General features: G+C 39.7%; 1 long non-coding RNA gene and 1 pseudogene across 1 annotated transcript; both read left to right on the top strand.

The window, feature by feature from the left end:
- The first annotated feature begins 1593 nt into the window (after positions 1–1593).
- LOC105370452 (uncharacterized) lies at positions 1594–23191 on the top strand. Its single transcript, XR_943752.3, has 3 exons — positions 1594–2335; positions 20351–20593; positions 21379–23191. It is a non-coding gene; the product is annotated as an uncharacterized LOC105370452 (long non-coding RNA).
- ILF2P2 (interleukin enhancer binding factor 2 pseudogene 2) lies at positions 13932–15497 on the top strand (annotated as a pseudogene).
- Positions 23192–23617: the final 426 nt, after the last annotated feature.

Genomic DNA, 23617 nt, shown 5'->3' with positions numbered 1-23617 from the left:
ACAATCCAAAGAATCCCCAAGGGAAACAGCTTCAAGAATCTTGAAAATCATACCTATTTTTGTTTGTAATGTGTGAAATTATTACAAGTATGTTCACCAAGAGGACTATTGATGGATGACTCACAATTTAGCTAAATTCAATGAACCACACACTGTGCCTATCCCAGTAGGTGACTCATGCATTTTTTATTTCAAGTATCAAGTGTTTGCCAAAAACAGTATTTAAAAAAAGTAATGAAAATTGTTCTGAAAGAGCTCATGAATAGGGTAGGACTACCCACCGACAACCTCATTTGTGCTCTGACCACTTACATGGGATTTGGTGGGTCTGCTACAGCAGCGCTCGACAGAGAGTGCGCTCCCCACAGCAACGGTGGCAGGCGGAGGGCAGGCTCTGCAACTCACCACACGTGGTTATCTCCCTCAAACCCACATCTCAGCAAGGATTCTAAAGCCCAATGATGTGTATGTGTTGCGGGGGGGGGGCAGGTACATACAGGTTTTGCTAAAACATATTAAAAATAAATGCATACATCCATTCAATTCCTGTTTGTCTTCTATTGAGCTTATCATTTCTCCCCCTACCTTTTTTAATTTAAGAAATCTAATTATCAGAGAAAAATGGAGGGAATGAAAGGTCACTGAGCAGAAATAATGAAAATGATTGCTGGTGAGGAACAGTTAAGGGGTGTAGACTTTATTCTGACCATTAGTGTTTTCGTGTGCACCTGCTACTAGGCTATTCACAAAACCCTCAGTAAGAGTCCCCCTTTCTCAGCCTGCTTCTCTGACCAGCCAAAGGAAAAGTTTTTAGGTCCCACTGACTTGCAAAAAAACCCTCAAGTTCACTGACCACCTAATAATATCCTTGTAAATCTCAGAAAGACATTACTGATTTGGATGTTTTAATAAATATTTGCAGCTTTGTGGTATTTCAAGGGGAAAGGATTTTAACACTTACAAATGCCTTTTCAAAGGATGTGAGGATGAGACAGAGTTCCCAGTGATGTTAGTATTTATTCCTAAAGCTTACTCTTCTTTTAAATCACAAACAATGACCATTTTTCAGGTTGTGTATTGACTTTTTCGTTTGCTGATCATTGCAGGCAAATTATGATGAAGTGTACGCTTTCCTCTTAAGGTCCCAGGAGACTTTCCTCCCCCCACACATTGTGGACATTGCTTCTTTTATAAGCAGGTTCTAAAAAATAAGTGCAGGAGGAACTCAGTTGGCTGACTCAATGCTTTGCATTATATGGTCACTCCTTATAGGTTTCTGATCTCTTGTTGCTTAGCAACATCTACACAGATATAATTTCCATCCGGTAGTGAAATCAAGTACTTTTGGCCTCTGTCAACATCAAGATTAGCTGATCTCTAGAGACCCCACACAGCCAAGGACACTTGTTGCTATTTTAAGAGAGAAGAGGCTCTCTTCTTCTTGCATGCCTCTTCTCTTTTTTGTTTATCAATTGCTGCGTAACAGAGTGCCCTAAAAAAACTCCTTATACAGTCTGTAGTTTGCCAAGGCTCGGCTGGATGGCTATGACATTTGATCCTTCATGAAACTGCAGTAAGATGGCAGCAGGAGCTAGAGTCTTCTCAAAGCCAGACTAGGCTGGACATCCAAGATGGCTTCTTCCCTCAAGTGACTGGTGCCTGAGCTGGGATGGCTGGAGCAGCTGGAGACTGGGCAGACATCTCCCTTGCCACATGGCTAGGTTGGGCTTCACAGCATTGGCTTGCAGGAGGCAGGGTGTGTGAAAGAGGCAGTGGGAGTGATCCACTCATGGGAAGGGATATGTTATCGCTGAGCCTTGTTTAGAATTGCTTGTGCATGCTGATAAGAAAAGGAAGACCAACTTTTAGTTGGTTTTAGTAAACTTTTTAAATTCTTTATAGACAATGCATCCCTTTAATCTCTGTACTTTTAAGTGGACCATTCCCACTGCCCCCAGCCTTGGTACACCACTTCCTCACAGCATGGCTGTTTCCAGAGAGTTGGACTTTTTGCCTCATGACTAGCCTCCCCCAGAGCCTTCCAGGAAGAAAGGCAAAATCTGTGAGCCTTCTTATGACCTAGCCTCAGAAGCCACAGAGCATTGCATCCCCTGCACTCTGTGGGGGCAAAAGCAAGTTGGAGGACCATCCTGGATTCATGGGGAGAAGACCAAACAAGTGTGAGTGCTGGAAAGGAGACTTCCCTGTGGGCCAGCTTTGGAGATGAGTGACCACATTCTCCATTACCATTTGCTCCACGTGGTTCAGAACCACATGATTATTTAACCAAAGCTCGGGTTGACTACACTTCAACTAACTGGAACCTACTGTAACGGTAAGTGACTTTTCTGAAAGAGATTTTGAATTCAGAATTTCATTGAGCCTTAGGATCCTCTGATGAATTTTCTTTAACTATTTCTTGCTGAAATAACAGAACTTCTAGTACATAGGGCTAGACTATTGCCACGACTTCTGAGTCAATCAATGTAACTCATCTTAGCCTCAGGCCAAAATTTTTGCAAATGGCTATATTCGTACTCAATTCCATTTCTCACATGTACTCATCTGACCAATGGGAAACTTTCCAGAGCCAGCTCTGGAGTCATAACTCAAAACTTTTCACAGAGATCCTAGGCCAGGTGTGAATAGAATCTTCAGGTTTCCTGAACCCACAAACCATAGCCAACCTGGATGTCAAGACCCTATAGGCTTAACTATTTCTTAAAATAGCAATAGCAAGCCCTTCTTATGTGCCAGACACTGTTCTCTGCTTTACCAATAGTAACTCATCTAAAACTCATAACAACACTATGGGTAGTAACCCTTATTATTATTATTTACAGATGAGGAAACTAAGACCCAAAGAGGTTAAGGAATGTGTCTCAGATTCCAAAGATAGCAAGTAGAAGAAATGTTATAGTCAGATTCCAGAAACCAAGCTCTTAATCATCATGCTATTATACTTCATAAGTTGTACAGTCAGTATTGCTGGCAATAAAGGACATTCATATAATTATGTACCATATCCTTGAAAAAAGTTCTTTCAGTCAACAATTAAATCAGCCAAATGTCTTAGACATTGTTTTAGTCCATTCAGGCTGCTATCACAAAATACTATAAAAGGGCTGGCTTATAACAACAGGAATTTCTCACAGTTCTGGAGGTTAGGATGTCCAAGGTCAAGGGACTGGTAGATTCAGTGTCTGCTGAGGGTCTGCTTCCTGGTTCATAGATAGCACATTCTCACCACATCCTCACGTGGTGGAAGGGATGAATGAGCTCCCTTGGGCCTATTGTATAAGATCGTTAATCCCATTCACAAGGGTTCTACCCTCATGACCCAATCACCTCCCGAAAGGCCCCACCTCCTAATATTATCACCTTGAGGGACAGAATTTCCAGATATAAATTTGTAGGGGAGGAGACACAAACATTCAGACCATAGCAGATGTACTAAGGGATACTAATGATATGACTTGATCCCCCAACACAAACAGATCAGTATGTTCTGAGAGAGGCAAGACTGACACCCAAACAGTAAATGAACAGTATCAGATGCCACCATATGGAAATAAGACCTGAACTGTGTGGTGATTTAGACTGCAATATTCAGCTGAAGTCAGAAAAGGTATTGTGACACTGGACACAGCACTTTTCCATTCAGCCAAATCACAAAACTCATATTTTCTTTTCACACATGCGATGTCATTCATGCCTTATGGTCTCCGTATAACGACATGATTAATACAGACAGAGTGGTCCACAGAAAAATCAGATCCATGGCATTACACAGCAGCCTGCCTTCAATAGACTTCCCTCACGAAGAGGCTATCACTCTGTACTGTTAGGAGGCCATGAAGCAATAACAAAGTTGAATATGTTTTTTAGATGTTTTCACAGGGGTCGTGACTTACTGTCCCAGAGAGCAGGTTTCTTGCAGAGGAAAAGCTGAGCCCTCAGTTGATTCCTTTACTGAGGTAGAAGTGTGGATTGGCTCAGGGAATAAAGCACCCTAAGGGCTATCAGATTCCAAGCTCCAAATCTGGCTCTTACCTTAGGCTAGTCACTTAACCTGCAGACAGAGCAAAAAACTAAGGGTAAAGAACTCACAGGTAAATAACAACATTCAAAACATATTATTCTATGGTACAAAAATACTAAACAGACACTGCATTTGGGTGAAAGCTATCTTTCAAGAGAACAGACCTACTCAAATGTATCTACTTAAAGGAATATTCCGGGTTCAGAATTGAGTGTGTTTTAAATTAGGACACATATTTTTACTAATGAAGCACGAACTGAAAAAAACAGCATTGGGAAGAGAAAAATCAGATGTGTAGCATGCACGAAGACTGCTTTGCTGCCTCTGTGGGGGAAATAAAGTTATGAGCATCATGATAAAATTAAGTTAATTCATTCCTATCACATCTAATAGGACTACTTAAAGATAAATCATAAAGTGTCAAAAAAAGTGTCAGCAAATAATGATTCTTACTTCAATGGTAAATAAATACCTGTCACAATGATATTAAATTGCTTAAGACTAGACTCTGAGAGCATGATAAATTGTTACAGATCTTAAACTTTGAGCAAGAGCATATTTCAAAGAAATACCTTCTTTTAGGAGGAGATATAAAAGAATCAGTTATATTAACTGAGACTTCCTTAAAAATGAATTTAGCAAATGCTGTTTATTGTTCTCTGAATATCTGATTAGCATGGACAGTTAATAGTCAAAATTCAAAATTCATCAACAGTTTTTTATGACAACAGCTATCTTAACAGCAGATCTTCTAATATTATATCTTTGATGGCTTTTATGAAAATCCCCAGTTACTGAAAAAGATATACTATTTTTCATGCGATTAATTTAACAAAAGTCTGTCTCAACATTTTTGAAACATTAAAAGCTTTCTCACAAAGAAATCAGGATAAAGCTGTTGCAAAAACGATAAAAATATCTATAAGATCACTTAACCTATTAAACAACTACGTAATTGCATAATTTCTTAGTATAATAAACATAATTATATGTTCTTGATGCCATTAATTGTGTCAGCCCCATTAATTAACACTAAATACTATAGGGAAAACAATCTATTTATATTAAAATTTATAAAAGAACAAAAATCTTATTTTAAATCCCCAATAAACACCACACATCCTCAGTCACAGAATTCCAATGGTCTTAATTGACCTAGTTTTAGTTAAAAGTAAAAACTACACTTAGGTTCAACCACAGAAAAGAAGAGGCCGCTTTTCTAGATTAATTATTATGCTTCAGTTATCTGGGAGCTGTTAGTTCAGCTCTCATAATTCTAGGAAAGAGTCCTAACACCGTGTCACAGAAACCTTAAATTATATTCTAGTCCACGCTTAGAACTGTCTTACTGTCCCTTCCATACTTTTAAAAGCTGCATTCAACACTTGTCTGTGTGGTCTTTTGCTAAGGATCCAGGAGGCCCACAGGTCTGAACAAACACATTGTGGTCTTCCAACTGGTACCTGGTTTCTGCTCCTGGATTTACCAAGTGACTCCTCCTGTGACTCTGGAAGCCTTGAAAAACTTGGCATCATTCCTTCCTCTGTAGATTAACAATAACTTTACCCATCTTCTTTCCCACAACTATGGAAAGGCTCTGAAAAAAAACAGAAATCATAACTTTGTACCTAATTTGTGATTCCTCGTGGAAGGAGGTAAAGTTCTCTGGGAAAATTAGAGATTGCACGGTCTTTCAAATACTAATAATCATAATCTCAACAATCTCTTTGCTATATTAAAAAACTTACAGGAATTTAGAATGCCTCAAACTGGAAACAAATGTCCATCAACAGGAATGTAGATTCATACAATGGAATATTCAAGCATAAAAAGTATGAACTACTAATACATAAAACAACATGGACAAATCTCAAAAACATCATGTTGAATGAAAGAAGCCAGACTCATAACAGTACTCATTATATAATTCCATTCCTACGAAAGCCAAATACAGGTAAACAAATCTATGGAGCTAGAAATGAGATCATGGTTGCAGAAGTAGGGTAATTTTCTAGAAAATTGCACAAGGAAAATGGTGGAGGGTGGAAATGTTGCATATCTTTTTAAGGGGTGATGTTACACAGGTATCAAAACTCATCATGTGAGCACTTAAAATCTGTGCATTTTATTGTATGTTACTTATATATATGTTAATAAAAGAATCTTAGCAAAATGTCTCCTACAGGAGTTACAATTTGCTAAGGACTCTTCCTCAGACCATAAGAATTTAGTTAGAACTAATAATAGTATTAGTCTCTGGGGGAAAGAAATGGGGACCAGGATTAGAGGTATTGGTCAAAGGGGGCTCTAGCTTTATCTGTAATATTTTTCATCAGTTTAGCAGCTTGCTCTTTTCCCTTTTATCTAGGAGATGAATTTATATTGGTATATGGAGCTGCTGCATTATTTTTTAAGGTCATGTAGTTGTATCAGCCAGAGTTTATCAGGGAGGCAAAACCACTTAAAGTTATGGGCTGAGAGAGATAGTATACAAATTAGACCTTGTACAAGTGTTGGGGGAGCTGGGGAAGTAAAGATCTGGGAGGGAAGAGTTTGACATTTCTGAAGAGTTGCTAGTCAATATGAGAAGCCCCTACAGTACTTCAGGCCACAAAGCGGATCAACAAAGGGGAAGCTGGGGGGAATCTATGGGAGGCTGTTTCCTCTGTGGGTCTCTAGCAAGGTGCCAGTCAGGAGGAGAAGTTGAACATGGGGCAAAGAAGAGTGAGGGCTTGCCAGCAACCACCAGCCTCTCTGAGTCTGTCTCCCATCCAATCTCCATGCCTTTAAGAGAGAAACAGGTACTGTTCACTTCCACCTTTCAAATGTCCCACTAATTCCTCTTTTGGCCAATTATCACTTAGAATCCTACAGGAAAGGGGTTCTGGGAAATGTACTTCTAAGTTTACCCAGTTAACCTGGTACTGGTACAAATGACCATGATACGGCTTTACCGTATCTTTGTATTTTTTGTACGGCTTTACCGTAATTTAATCAGTCACCTATTGATGAGCACTTGGGTTGTTACTGAGCTTTTGCTATCATAAATGGTGTTGCAATGAATATCCCTGTCAATTCCCTCCCTCCACACATGCAGGAAGGCATCTGTAGAATACAATAATACAATCCAGGTGAGGATTGGTCCAACTTGATCCAAATGTCCATACCGAGTCCCCCAAAATTGGACCCAGCCTTGTGGGTGCTCACTGTAAGAGTCAGAGAGCAGGTACTGTGGTTTGCTCTGAAGGTATTATGTAGGCACTATGACTTACATAGTATATACTATGACTACTAGGTAATTTGGGCTCCCCCAAAATTATACCATTCAAGTGATGGAAAACAGTTCCCAAAAGCAAAATAAACAGTTTTTATAGATTGGGGTTTTTCAGCCTCGGTGCTATTGACATTTAGAGCTGAATAATTCTTTGTTATCACAACAAAAATAGCTTCTGAAAGGCAAACTCATACGTACACCACCACCCACCAATTGAGAAGCACTGGAAAAACAACAGATTTTAAAATTGAGAAGTAGAGCTAAGTCATTTTGCATAAAAAAGGAAGAAAGGACTGGGGTTTGGGGGTGATAACCTAGGTAAAAAGGGGACTGAGCATGGTGGCTCCCCTCCTGTAATCCCAGCACTTTGGGAGGCCAAGGAGGGCGGATCACTTGAGGCCAAGAGTTTGAGGCTGGCCTGGCCAACATGGCAAAACCCCTCTACTAAAAATACAAAAATAAGCCGAGAGTAGTGGCGGACACCTGTAATTCCAGCTACTTGGGAGGCTGAGGCAGTAGAATCACTTGAACCCGGGAGGCGGAGGTTGCAGTGAGCTGAGATCGCACCACTGGACTCCAGCCTGGGCAACAGAGGGAGACTCTGTCTCAAAAAAAGTGGAGGGGTGGGGGTTAAGAATATTAAACAAGGAAAAAAGTAATTGAGAGGAGTCAGAGACAAAGCAGCTCACAAGATAGGAGAGTAATATTGGGAGTTGGAATGTGTCCAAAGAGGAACTATTTTTAAATTTTTGACATTTTAATTTTCCCTCAGGGTCTAAGAACAATCATTTCAAACACTGTGTTAATTTTTTTCCTAATTGTAATTATCTTCCTTATCCTCAGATCTTCAGGAAAAGTTCTCTACATATAACCAATTTATCTATGTTAGTGGTACATTGAGGAGGTGTCCAGAGACAAAGAGACAAGACAGCAAATGAATGGACAAGATGCTGTGAGGGAGTAGGATTCAGAAGAATGTCCCAGAGCACAACACAGCCTGGAATTCACAGAAATACTGGGGAAAAGGCACAGTGGACTTCCCACTTTCCGTGGATGGGGTCTCGACCCATTTTAAGAGGCTATTAAAGGAAAAATTGACTGCAGGAGGCAGGTCAACTTGGAAACATGGGATATATTTTTTTAAATTTTAGGCATGGAGATATGGAAGGATGCATAGAGGCCTGGTATATAACTAAGAGCAGGGACTCTGGAGTCCGAGGGTCTGTGTTGGAATCCCAACTTTGCCACTTATAACCATGTACTTTTGCGCAAGTTATTAAAGCCTCTGAGACTCCATTTCCTTCTCTGTAAATAGGGAAATAATAATACCTCATAGGGTTGTCAAGAGGAGTAAATGAAGCACAATTGTAAAGTGGATGGACAGGAGCTTAGTGTATACAAATTGCTGTACAATAGCTTGTTAAATAATATAAATAAATATGCATCAAAATGTTAAGTGTTTTTTGATGAATATAATTATGGGAGTTTTGAATTGTTTAAATTTAATATTCACCTCTGAAGTGTTTAAATTTCCTACAAAGAGAATGTGTTACTTATAAAATCAGGAAAAAATAATAAAAAGATTTCCATTTAGGAAAAAATGCAAAGTATCCATAAGAATCTTCATGATAAGCATCAGAAGCAAATTCTTTTCTACAACAAATGATAACAATCCACTGATTATAAAGTTTTCTGTTAAAATATAACCCCTATGTTTTAAAGAAGTTCAAATCTGGACATGTGTCCAGCTCAAGATTCAGCTTTTCTATCATCAGAAGACAAGTAAGACTAATGAACACATTTGTTCAGGCTCTGGTTCAATGATAAGAGTCTATTACCTTCATAGGATTCATTAGTGTCTGCCTGTAAGAGAGAATATGCTTGAATCATACAAATCTTGCATTTCTTAAGTAGGGACCAGGTTCATTCATTATGGGTGAATAATTAAAACTGCTGTAGCTGTGTCTTTACGAAGAGTATCATACATCTATTATAGATCTACAATAGAATTACCAATAAATAGGACTCTGCCCTCTTATTTACACTTGGAAACAATAGCAATGTGCATACTGCATGCAAAATGCTCACATTTGAGGAACTTTAAAAATCACAATGTAACTCAGCTACATCTCTTTTATTTTTATACAGGTTAAACTTGGTTTAACATCAGATCTATAAATATGTGTTACACTTTCATGCTGTGTAAGAACCGTATTCAGAGATTCCCAGGATTTAAAGGCATGCATGCTATTGTTCTTGCCTCCTGGGTGGCTTGCAGTCTACTTGTGAGGACCACACATGTTCCTTGGCTGGTGAGGGCAGACAGGAGGGAGGAGTAGGAAGGGGACTTGTATTAGGAGACACTCAAATCTTCTCCTGCACCTACTGCAAATACCATCTGTCAGCCTGTCCTTTCCCTCTTCTGTAACTCAGGCTAATCGATTACAAAAGCAGTAATAGACCCACCACATAGACAACTGTGGGGCCCAGGAAACACAGGCAGTTTTGTTTTCTAAGGAGTAGACAGTGCAAGACCCCTGCAGCTTATATGATAGGACTATAGAACACCTAGCATAGAATTCCCAACCTGCTGTAAGCAGTAGAGGGGCAAGGAGAATTAAAGCAAGGATAGGGTGCTACTCCAAACTATCTTATGGACCAACACATTGGGAGTCCTTGCCCAGCCACTGGCCTCCATCTTTTAGCAAATGTATTCCTCCCTCATGTTCAATTAATTTCCCCCTTCCCAACTCCAACCATGTGGTTACAGGAAAATGTGGCATGTTCTTACCTGATCGTGCCCTCCTAGACACAGCTGGCATCCAAGGCTGAGCAGCCACCTGACCCGGCCACCCAGAGTTCTCCCCTAGCCTTTTAAAAAAATTAATCTGGGAGAGTCAGTCTGTCTCTCTGATAGAAGAAGTTGTAAAAGAACTCCCATGCAAGGTGTCAACAGCCCCATTAACTGCCAAGTGGAGAAAGCTGGTCTGCAGTGGGAGAAAATAGAGCCGGCACCAAGAGAAGTAAAAACCAAAAAGAGAGACAAAGTCCTGACAAGCTGGTTCCTGGTTTGAGGGTTCCTGAGGCCCCACTGCATTCCTTCCTGCCCGGCTGGTGACTTGGTCATCCTACTCTTCTTTCAGTCATGTCGGCTACCCCAAGATCCTTCCATTAAATATCCCTTTTGCCTAAACGAGTTAAATATGGACTTCTGACACTTATCTAAAGTCTAGTGACTCAAATTAGTTTTTCTCAACCAAAATAAACTATGGAATAACCCTTAAATATGGCTTGGGTACAGACAGCATATTTCTTTACAAAACAAATTCAGAGGTATGTTGATATTCTATTAGATTGATTGTTGTAATGGATTTCTCTAATTTGCAGAGATTTCATACCAAATTTGTGTGACAGATTCTTATTACTGAGTTATTAGATTACCCTGAAGGACAAATGCTTGTATCTGTATTTTCTCTTCTTTCTTTTCAATGATATTGTCTTACATTAGTTGGCAAGCAAAAAACCTCAGGAACAACTTGCTCGACTTCATTTTCCAAGTGTAAATTGTCCTGTGTGTACATTACTCTTGGTCATATTTCATGAGGTTATAGTGTTTTAGAACTGGAAGGAATCTCATTATCTGTATAAACCTTTTGTTAGAAGCCAACTGGAGTCTGGTAAAAATCTTGAAGAATCAAATAAGTATATATTCAATCAATACAACCTCTTGAGAACACTTCTAAATTACTACTGTCAGTCCAAAAAACAATAATACTATTTTCAATATTAATACTTACATTCAGTTTGGGAACCTTAATATCCCTTCTTTCTCAGTCCTTTAAGACAGAGACCAATCTGCCTTACTATAAAAGGAACAATAACAATATTAAAACAAATTGGTAGCATAAATAAAAACCATACAACCTCATTATCTTTGTGGAGTAAGTGATTACAGTGCTGCTGGTTACCTGCAGAGGCAAAATGCTACCAGCGGCAATTTTGGTGAATTAACTGGGGTTTATTGGCATACTGTCAAGAATTTAGAATGACTCATGGAATGAGTGTTAATGGAGTGAAACCTTCATTCCATCTATTTGGCAAATGGCAAGGCAATCTAATTGTTTTTCCCTAAAGCAACACAACAATCAGATATTTAGACAGCACATTACTTCCTTTCCTACTGGAAGAAACAGGAGTCATGAGATAAGAGAAGAGATCTAAAAAGCACTGAGATTTTTCTTTGAGTTTTATTAGATTTGCTGAACCTGCACTACATGTTTGAAATGCAGGACTGAACAAAAACGACTGCATTTCTAAGGTAAGCAGAGTATCCAAGGGAGAAACTTGACGTGAATAAACAAATGTTACTGAGTACCCACTGTGGACTCAGCTCTGTGCTAGATACTTCTCAATCGTATTACCTAATAAGAAAACAACTATGAAAAAAAAAAAAAGTATGAGACCATAATTAAAACTAGTTTGTAGAGTGCTCATATCACGGAGGCACGTAAGTCATACAACCCCTTACCGCTCAAAGGGTGGTCTGCTGACCCTACCATCGCCATCGCCTTTGAGCCTGTTAGCAATGCAGAGTCTCAAGCCCTGCCCCGACCCATGAAATCAGAGCTACATTTTAACAATCTCTCCATTTGCACATTAAAGTTTAAGAAGCACTGATTTAACCAACTGTCTTGGCTTATAATTGAGAAAAATAAGGCTCAGGGTGGTTAAGTGATGTGTCTGACCAAACAGCTAGTTAGGAACCCAGCTGGGACTCCCAGGTCTCTCAGCCCGCAGGCCAATGGAACTCAGGATACTGCAGGATTTCAGACAAGAGGGATTTAAGTGTGTGTCATTTCCTCAAATGACCATTGATTGTTCCCATCTTCGCTGTGCAAAGCACATACGTACAGAGACCCTGAGTGAGGCCAATCATCCTGCCTCCTCCCAACACCTCCTCCCACTAATACTCCTGCACAGTCCTCCCTGGAGGGACTTCCCCTTTGCCTGTCCTCATTCTAACCTTTTCCAAGGCCCTGTTAAAGAACCAGCTGCCCATGAAGCCTTCCCTAATGACTCCAGTCCTCTTCAGTTTCTGCATTTTTAATTCAGATTTGCTTCTACATTCTGCATAGGGCATTCTAAAAAGTTACTTATTACACCCTGACACATTTTCTAATACTATGTACTAGACATATTGGCATATGGTTATATAACAATAATATAGATGCAATCTTTTTCTCTATTGTGCTTTTCAATAATTGTATCTATGTCTCCTTTCCAAAATAGATTACTTGTATTTTATCATATTAGACCATCACTTAACACAATAACAGAAATAATACGAAACTCTTGGTGGTGGAAGGGATCCTCTCTAAAACATCCCTAAGACATAGACATGCAGTTTTTTACTTGCATGCTTCCTGTGTTAGGAGGCTCACTACTTTTTAAAAAACAGTACCCTTTTAATTCTGAAATTTAGTTATTAGAAAATTCTAAGCCAAAATCTACTTCCCACTAACTTCTACCAGTGTCCTCAGTTCTGCCCTTAGAGGTAGTTTTGAACTGGCTGAATCCGTCTTCTACAGGAAAGCACTGCAAGTATTTGAACTAACTTAACAAAAATAATTTGGAGACACAGAAGGTCTAGCAGTTAGGAGCAATGAAGACCTAAGCCTGTATTCTGCATTTCCTGTCTGTATGCTTCTTAATGAAGTCATGGTATCCATAAATTTTTGTTGAACACCTACTATGTGCTGGACTGTATGGAGCACAGGCCTTGTGGAGAGATTATAGGACAGAGGAAAGATGACAAGATCACACATACCCCTGAAGCTGCAGAATGGAAACAATTTCACAATGGAAGCTTGAGATCGTTTCATCTGACCTTCCATTTCACCCAGGTCTTCCTAAGCTGCCAAAATATAAGCCTCTCTAGTCATCCCACCCCTCCCACACACACACTCCAATTTGGTTCTACGTTCTTCCTTAGCAAATCATCTTCCCATAGCTGCTCTTCTAGAATTCCAACTCCCAAGTTCATAAACTCTGCTGAACTCTCAGCCTTTTCCCAGAACACTAACTCCAACTGCATGGCAGGATTTCCACTGAGGATGCTGCCTTGCCCTCTACTAAAGTGAAGGCTGCTTATTTTCCCAATGATGACTCACAGCAGAGCCAGAGAAGGAGCTGCCATTCTTTAAGCCTCCCAATGGCTTTTTAGATTCCTCACTTATTCATTCATTCATTCAAACTAGGATCCCTCGCCCAGTATACAAACACCTCTTCTAAGGCTAATGCATTCTAGTTACAGGAATAACTAGAGAATCTTGTAACAGACCCTCTCAGCTCCAAAGGCAATTTGCCCTCTCTGGACAATTGTAACACTGAATCAGGAATGGCTGAGCTGAGGACAGATTCTAGACTGTATTTCTGAATTCCATATTTCTTCCAAGGGGAGAAAAGTGAGATCTTTTCTGCTATTTCATCATCACATTACAATTTGGAGAGGAAAATTCTACCTTCATAAATGCTAGAGAATGAAAGATAAACAATGGAATGTGTAATGCTAAAGGCTTATAAAGTTTAAGCCTACCATGATTTAAAATGAGGTATCTGAGAGGAAAGGGGTGGTTAGTGCAGCCTCCAGTGTGGGGGATTTAAGGTGCCATGAGAGATGACAGAAGCCATGGTCGTGGTGGGCGCTTTGGTTCCAGAAGAGGCCCAAGAGGAGGGTTCAGGCTCTTTGTGCCACATATCCCATTTGATTTCCATCTGTGTGAAATGGCCTTCCCAGGGGTCAAGCCAGCACCTGATGAAATGTCCTTCAGTGAGGCCTTGCTGAAGAGAGATCAGTACCTGGCTCCCAACTCTGCTGAACAGGACTCTGTCCTTTCTCTGGTGACAAAAATAAACAACGTGACTGATAATTTGATTGTGGCTCTAATTTGAAGTGCAAATTCAAGAAGTCTGACAGGTGGGATCGTACTAAAAGAGAAAGATGGCTACAGGCCACAGTGCAGCTGCCCTGGTGATAATACTAAAGACTCTGCCAACACTGGAAGCTGTTACTGCCCTGGGGAACAAAGCTTTGGAAAGCCTCAGAGCACAAGATTCTTCTGAAGTTTTGACCGTGCTGACCAACAAAACTGGCTTGAAATCAGTTCTTCTGATGCTCCAGTGAAGATTCTCATTACAATAGTGTCACTCAATCTTGGAAAACTGGACCCCAAAGTCTATTTGGATAGCAAGGTATTGCAGAATGCCTTGGCAGTCATCTGCCCTGCCTGCTGGATTGAGAGAAGTGCCTCTCAGTCCATAAAGTTCTCATCAGACTACTCAAGGACTTGAGGATTTGTCTTCCTGGCTTTGAGCCACTCACATTCTGGATCCTTGACCTACTGGGTCATTCTGCTGTGATGAACAACCTCACCAGACAGCCTTTGGCCCTAAATGTTGCATATGAGCATTGCTTGCAAATTCTGGCTGCAGGACAGTTCCCACCAGGGTCACTGGGTGTCACTGACCCCTGTGAGAGTACACACAGTCATGACCATGCAACTGCAGGACATGGTCTGCCACACAGCTCTGACTCTGGTCTGAATCCTCTGGTGGCTTTAGGAAGATCCTTGGCCAGGAGGACGATGCCAGCCATCTTGCTTCCAAAATATCTACCTGGGATGGAGTGATAGTAACACCTTCAGAAAAGGCTTAAGAGAAGCTGCCAGAGAAACAGGGAGGAGAGGAAGAAAAGGAGAAGACAGAAGAACCACCTCAAGGAGAGAAAGAGGAAAGCATGGAAACTCAGGAGTGACCTTCCCTTCACTCCCTTTCCTACCCAAGGGGGAAGACTGGAGCCTAAGCTAGCTGCCAGTGGGCTTTACATGGTGGCAGGGATTTCCGTGGGACAGGAAGACAACAGGAAGGAAAATAAACTCTGTAGAAGGAAATGCCAGTCCAGTGGGTTTTGATATTGGCTTAGCAGCCAGAGTCTCCCATTTATGACCTATGCCATCCATCTATAATGAAGCGGGATACCAACATTTCTTCCTCATACTCTAGAATCCCCAACTCCTGAAAACCCTTCTCTCAACTAATAACTTTGCTGTTGAAATGTTGTGAGCTGTTAGTGTCTGGAAAACTTTTTCTAAGAAAAACAATGAAAATACTTCCTAATAGGGCATAAATAAATAAACATAAAAGGAGATACCTGAGAGCAAACACTGCTTTGAAGATCTACAAATTTCTGCTTTTTCCTTAGAGATTTAACTCCCAATAAAGCTGTTGTTTATAGATTTTCCTTTCATTAATTTGGATGAAATGAGCCCGAAGACTAAGGGACTCGGTAGAGAAAGAGAGCAATGACTATTGATGACTTTTTGTGGACTTTGCAAATTAACAAAGCCATCTGGTGACAGAGAACCCCACTGGCTGACACTCAGGCCATGTCAACTCCTATCTTTAACCAAGCTTTCACAACTTAAGAGGTCTTCCAGCCTAACCTCACTGCCCGACCTGGACTTCAAAAAGTATAGCTATGTAATTTGTTTATTGCATTCTATTTCATATTCTATTTTTATCCCCAAATAGACCTGCCTGAGAACAGAAACTGTTCTTCCTACTTCTTTTGCCTACAAAAAAAGGCATAAAATTAATACATGTTGAGACCTTTTGTACTTTCCTCATCAGAATATACAGTGTTTTAAGAACAGACTGCAAATTTTATCAGTGGAGTGTTACATATCAAGGAGGCCCTCTTTTCTCTCACCTAAGATAGGGCTACATTAAAACAAGCACTTGATAAATGCCTTTTAATGACAGTATAATAAAAAATCATTATAACATTTAATAGCTGCTTGTCACGTGTACAAATATATACAGCAGTTTTAAAACAGTAGGTACAAAATAGAAAAGTTCCCATATCTTACCAAGTTGATAGCTAGCTTTTAAATAACTGCAGCACACTGGTAGACATTATGTAAGTGAATCTGTACTTCCAAATAGGCATGTTTTACACTTCTGAATATGTGAATAAAGGAATTGTTCTAAGGTATTCACTACACACACATGTGGACGCGCACACACACACACACACACACACACACACAATTTTCATCATTGGCAACTTTTTCCTGGATTCCTCAGGCTTGAGTCAAGTGTGTTCACCGCTCTGCCTTTCACCAGTGCCATCTTTTCATACACCCATAACTATCTGGCACAGGGTGAAATCATGATTTAGCAAAAGGGCAAGTAGGAGGCAAAATGGAGTGCTATCTTCCCTAATTGCTATTTAAAGGAAACAATAAAAAGGATGAAACAAATTAAATTAGCAAAGAAGCAAGAGCATCCCAATGAACTGGCCAAGATAATCAACTTGGAAAATTAGCTATTAAACCTTCATGCATACTCATTTTCATAATTTTTTGTGTGTGCTTCTGAAACGCAACGCCCCATTGAAATGGCTGGGATGAAGTTGCTTCATTTCTCTGAGATAAGTCATTTGCAATTGGTCTTAATGAAATTAGAGGTGAGGTTTTTTAAATGCCCTGGTTCATCATTTCCCATTTCAGTACTGGAGTGTTCTGATTGGAGTTGGGGAAGTATGTAAAGGAGGTGAGAAGCTGGCTCAGACTAGTCACCTTTCTGAATTCTTCCACTTTATTTTATTATCTTTTCCAAATGTATGTGCAGAGTATGGATTTTGGTTTTTATTGTCATTACCTTTATGTATCATCATCATCACCATATCATCATCCTCATCATCATTTAAAAGACCTGATTTTTACTTATTTGCAGACTATCTTCCTTAAATGTTTAAGGGTAAGAATTTCTATGCATATTTTTTATCTTTTAATCTGACATCTTGTGCTCTCAATGTTAGTCCTTCTTATGTACAGGTCTTCAACCTCGTAAAAGGCTAATCTTTATTACTCACAGCAGTCATTGAAAAGACCACAAGCATTAATAAAATCTATAAAGAATAAATATTCACACTTACTTTTACCAAATAATTCTGATTTTTCAGTCTGTGAGCTGTTACTAAAGTACAAAATAAGTAGCCAAATGCATTTATTTAAGAGTCTTCTTTGGAACTTCCTTTCTACTCATGGGTTTGCTAAATTGCTACCTGGGGCAAAACAGGAATTAGAGCACTTATTTAAACAGGACAAATTTTAATAGGAAGAGAAGCAATGAATTTGGATTATTCATCATCAAAAATTGTGAGAGCCAATGTCCTGAAGATTAGCTATTCACATATGAATGTTTCAATTGAAGATTAAGAACATACCTTTATATAGTGGATTATTAGTGTGGTCTACTCCTCTTTTCCTTGATTTTGCTTTTTTTAAAATAAATATTTTAATCTACTGCTGAAGGAAATAATTTCTATAAACCCTTTTCTCCACATGTGAACAGTGAGTGGCACTTCTGAACTTAGGCAAGATTTAATAATCCCAGAACTCTCAGACCAGAATTTCAGAGGCCCCTAGATGTGTTATGAGGCAGCTTAACAATATGATTTCACAGGCCTTGGGTGGCAGAAGGAAATCCAAATGTATGCTTGGTACCTAAAAGGCCAATGTTCAAGCTAACTAGTGCTCTGCATGTTCAGTCTTATTTATTCTTTATTTCTGAGAAAGAAATAAAAGACCAAAAGAGAAACTCTAAATCAGGGGTGTCCAATCTTTTGGCTTCTCCGAGCCACATTGGAAGAAGAAGAATTGTCTTAGGCCATACATAAAATACACTAGCACCAACAATAGATGATGAGCTAAAAAATAAAAATAAAAATCACAAAAAAATTCTTGAGGTTATAAGAAAGTTTACTAATTTGTGTTGGGCCATATTCAAAGCCATGTTGGACTGCATGTGGCCCGTGGGCCGCAAGTGGGACACGGCTGCTCTAAATCAAACTAAGTAGATGGAACTTCAGGCCAAGTATTTGATATTCGTGTTAACTTTAGCTAACTTTAGCTAAATGGAAAATGCCTGATGGCATACAATTAGATTAAAATACATTTTCACTAGAAAGACAAAGAGGTCTTACCTTTTGAGGTGCCAATCAATAGCCCTTGGTAGATATACATCCTCATAATTGTGCATTAATATTAACTTTGTATATTTTAAATTTATCAGAATAGGATGATGTGTGCCTCTTGTTTACAATTGTGTTAAAACATTTAAAATGAAAAACACGTGTATTAAACTGTCACACCACCTGATCCATTTTTTCCTTTGTTAGGAATCAACACGTTAGATTTTCAAGTTGTTTTCTTGCCTGTTAAATTTCATTCCTGAAACATTTTTGAGTGCCTACTATTTCCCAGGTTACTGTATTTACTCTGGGAATTCAGTATAAGAGATGAATTAGACATAGGCCCTGCCCCTACTAAAAAAACCCACAGATATGGAGTTTGATGACAGACAAGGAAATGTTACTATGCAACTTGGAAAATGAAATGTTTATGCTGTAAAAGATAAAGTAGACTATTTGGGTTTTATTGTTTTTCTGTTTTTGTTTTTGTTTTTGAGATGGAGTCTTACTCCATCGCCCAGGCTGGAACGCTGGGGCACGATCTCGGCTCACTGCAACCTCCACCTCCTGGGTTTAAGCAATTCTCCTGCATCAGCCTCCCAAGTAGCTGAGATTACAGGCACATACCACCACACCTGGCTAATTTTTGTATTTTTAGTAGAGATGGAGTTTTGCCATGTTGGCCAGGCTGGTCTTGAACTCTTGACCTCAAACAATTCACCTGCCTCGGCCTCCAAAAGTGCTGGGATTACAGCTATGAGCCACCATGCCCAACCGATAAAGTAGAATATTTGCACTTAGAAACAATCCATTTTGTTCTTCTGGGTTTTATTTGTTTATTTATTTAGAGACAGGGTCTTACCTTGTTGTCCAGGCTGGAGTGCTATGGCCAATCATAGCTCACTGCAGCCTGGGGCTCCTGGGATCCAGGGACCCTTCCACCTCAGCCTTCCAAAGCACTGAGGTTACAGGCATGAACCACTGCCCCTGGCCAAATTCTTTGTTCTTTTTTTTTTTTTTTTTTTTGAGAAGGGATCTCACTAAGGCACCCAGACTTGAGTATAGTGGCATAATCATGGCTCACTGCAGCCTCAACTTCCCAGGCTCAATCCATCCTCCCACATTAGCCTCCCTAGTAGCTGGGACTATGGGCACACACCACCATGCCTGGTTAATATTTACATTTTTTGTAGAGACGGGTTTTGCTTAAGTGGTCCTCCTGCCTCAGCCTCCTAAAATGCTGGGATTATAGGCGTAAGCCACCACACCTGGCCCTAATTCTTTGTTTGTTAAATCTTATGGTTGCTTAGAGCAAAAGGAAAAATGACAAACATATATAGAATCCCAACTCTGTTCTAGGGATTTTATATTTTAAAATAATGCACCCTTGTCTCAAAGAATCATAAACCATAAGAGTTGAAAGAAAACGTTTTTTAAAAGTTAAGCTTTTGGCCAGGTGCGGTGGCTCGCACCTGTCATCCCAACACTTTAGGAGGCTGAGGCTGGCAGATTGCTTGAGGCCAGGAGTTCAAGACCAGTCTAGGCAACATGGTGACACCCCATCTCTACCAGAAAAAAAAAAAAAAAATTAGCCAGTATGGTGGTGAGCGCCTGTAGTCCCAGCTACTCAGGAGGCTGAGGCACGAGAATCGCTTGAACCCAGGAGGTCAAGGCTGCAGTGAGCTATGATCATGCCCCTGTGCTCCAGCCTGGGCAACAGAGCAACACCCTATCTCTAAAAAGAAAAAGTAAGATTTAAATTAAAACTAACCTGATATAGGAAGAGTTTTGAGGAACATAAGTTTTGAGGAACATTAATCTAGGTCACATGGTAAATAAGTGGGCTTTTATGGTCTATTTGGGGTACCTGTGGTAGATTAAGGATGACTGCAAATTCTTTGCCACTCTTTCCACTGAGAAGCAGACCACCTCTCCTTGGATCTAAATGGCCTCTATCACAATTTTGACAAACAGAAATAACACTGTACTAGTTTTCCAGGCCCAGACCATAAGAAATTGGCAGCTTCGACTTTATATCTCTTGGAACACTCACTCATGGAATCCAGCCACCATCCTGTGAGGAAGCCTAAGCAGGCCCACAGAAAGCCCCTTGTCGAGAAGAACCAAGGACCGTGGCCAACAGCCTCCATCCGGTTCCCAGCTGACAGCCAACACCAAGTTGCCAGCCATGTGAGCCCTGTTGGAAGTGAATCCCCCAGCCTCAGTCTACAGCTGACACCAGGTAGGACAAATGTAAACTGCCCGGATGTGCCCTTTCTAAATTCCTGACCCATAAAATTGTGAGCAAAAAAAAATTTGGCAGGCGGAAGAGGGTAGATTGTTATACAATAACAGATAATCAGAACAGAATCTAATTATGATTAATACCATCAACTCTATGTACAAAGTGGGTAGTAATACAGGTTCTAGAGTCAAACTGCCCGGAATCCAGCTGTGTCACCTTGAACAATTTAATCTCTCTGAGCCTCAGATTCTTCTGCAAAATTAGGTTAACTATAATCTAAGTCACAGGATTTTTGAACGAATTAAATGAGACAATTCACATAAGCACTTAGAAAGGGCCTAGCCCATAGCTAACATTATTGAGAATTCACTATTATCATTGTAGGAAAATGTGCTGAAAAGTTAGAGACTACCAATTTTAAATGGACTTTGAAAACACATGTATTCACAGCTTGAGACTTGTCTATCTATCGGATTTTTCAGCTTTACTCTCCTCAGCTTCCCATATAAAATCATGAACATGTCAATGACTGTCTCCCTCAGGGTTAATTTGGTGTTATCCCAAGCTCTTATATTTCACGTACTGTGAAAATATTGTTTCAAGAAATGGTCCGCTCATCAAAATCGTGTATCTCAATTGTGTTAAGTATATAATGACTTGCCATGTTAGCAAGATAAATCCAGGGTTAATTTAATGTGAGTATTTGAGATTTGTTTTATTTTTTCTGGTTCTGGGAACTTAAACATTTATTCCACTTGATTTTTTTTCTTCCTTGTTTTTAGTTAGAAGCAGCATTCCAACAAGAAGATCCACAAGATGAATTTGCAAATAGCAGTTTCCAAACTTTTGAATTGTTCAACCTGAGCAACAGTTCCATCTCCATGAATACTTCACATATTGTTTATCCTGCTCTTAAATGTTACCTGATTCTGCTACTACAAATCAATCAAAGAACTGGTGATTTGTCTTGGGGTCTTAAATTAATTTTGAGCAGCTCTGCAAGCTGTGTCCCGTGAGAGAGCTTGTGGGGAGGAAAATCAAAGAAAAGCTAAAAAAAAAAAAAAAAAAGAAAAGGAGAACAAAAACAAAAGAACACCCACAGGTTTGCAAATTGAGGTCTGAATAATACACCAGTCCCATTAAATTATGTTGTTAATCCCAAGACAATTAGTCTTCCTGTGAGAAGTGTATGTAGGAGCACATTCTAAGTACATAGATGGTTGTCTGAAACTCAGAATAGTATCGCATATCAACCCAAAATGATCTCTCCACAGATCATAAATGACATTACTTGAAATATCTTAATTTGTATATCAGGTTCTTCGACATGGGAAAATTCCCTGAATATTTATGCAAAATGAAAGCAAAGAACACTATAAATTGAAATGCAATAAAAGGAGTTTATTTCCAAGCCACAGCTTGGAATCATCTCCGTTTTGAATGTTGCTGGCAAAGAATGTATTCTTGATTAGGCTTTGTTGATAGGCAAAATGTGGAGCACATTTCCAGTTCTAATAAGTCTCTGAGGCTCTAGAAATTCATTTCTGAGCTACATAAAATAGATCAGCACAATTTCTCCTCTTCTCTCCTACCAAGAGAAAAAGAAGCACCCAACCAGAATAGAACTGACAGTATACAAGAGAATTCACAATGTCTAGGATGATCTCTGAACATATATACAAAGATGAAATGCCATGGAGGGGAGAAAAGTTAGAAGGTCTTAAGAAAGGGTTGGCCAATGCCAATGGTATAGGAGAAAAAGATGGAAGGAATGGGGAAGCATAATTGGGAGGGGAGCAGGGAGAAATTCATGATGATATTACATCCTGTGTTAATAGAATTGCTTCTAGAGGCAACTGTGCCAGAAGTTACTGCCCCCAGAATTTGCAGATATCTTATAGAAGGGAGAATGAGAACCCCAGGGGTCAGTTCCCCATTTTGCCACTGGCCAGCTGCATGATCTTAGAAATATTAAATATTCTGCATTTGTTTTCCCAGATATGTAAAAACAGAAATTGCCACATTACCTACTCGTCCTACAGAAATCTCTGAACTAGAATTCTTTGAAAGTCCATGCGACTTGTAACTTATATGATACAATTTCACAGTTAAAATTTTTGTCATCCCCATTCTAAGACTCTATCCAAGGTGTAAACCTCATAAGCACTAAGGCCACACCTCAGCATCTTGGTTCTGCTTCTTACCTTGCAGGCAGGCTCAAAACTGCCACAGAACCAGAGAGAATGTCATTAGTTTTCTTACTTTTATGGTTATTATCGACCCTTAACTACAGGTCTCCCTCTTGGTGGCTTCCCTCCTCCATGGCTCCTCATGTCATGGGCTACATTTTTGTTGTCAGATTACCTCCAAACACACGGTCCCCCAGCAAACATTAAGTCTAATAAAAACATTAACCAAAAGGTATTAAAAGTTCAGCCTGCATTTTTACGTTTCCTCTGGAGTCTTATTCTTGATAATTTACATAACTGCTTCAGAATACCGAACATGCATTTTTAAATGTCACTGCTTGCAGGGATTATTTGTATATTGCCTTAATTAGCCTCAACTTCAAAATCTGGTTGATCAGAATCGGGGTTTTTTGTGCATTGTATCTCCTGGCGTCTCTAGCGCTGGTTTAATTAGGTTCCCAGCTTGCTTTCACCTAGATCAAAAGCGCAAAGAGGGGACTTGAGGAGGATTATCATAATAAATAAAATACACTTGCTTGTTCTTTCGTTCCTCATTCTGTACGCATTTTTGCATTTTTTTGGTTCATATTGTAGAAATAATGAATGCACAACATGCTATTCTACATATGATTGTGTATCTAGCATTCTGCAGACATTTAACTTTTTTTTTTTTTTTTTTTTTTTTGAGATGGAGTCTCGCTCTGTCACCCAGGCTGGAGTATAGTTGTGCAATCGCGGCTCACTACAACTCCATCTCCCAGGTTCGAGCAGTTATTCTGCCTCAGCCTCCTGAGTAGCTGGGACTAGAGGCATGCACCACCACACCCGGGTA

Source organism: Homo sapiens, chromosome 14 (genome assembly GCF_000001405.40).
Source record: "Homo sapiens chromosome 14, GRCh38.p14 Primary Assembly".
NCBI classification, from domain to species: Eukaryota; Metazoa; Chordata; class Mammalia; order Primates; family Hominidae; genus Homo; species Homo sapiens.
The sequence above is the reverse complement of the archived record's forward strand: the minus strand, read 5'-3'. Positions and strand labels throughout refer to the sequence as shown.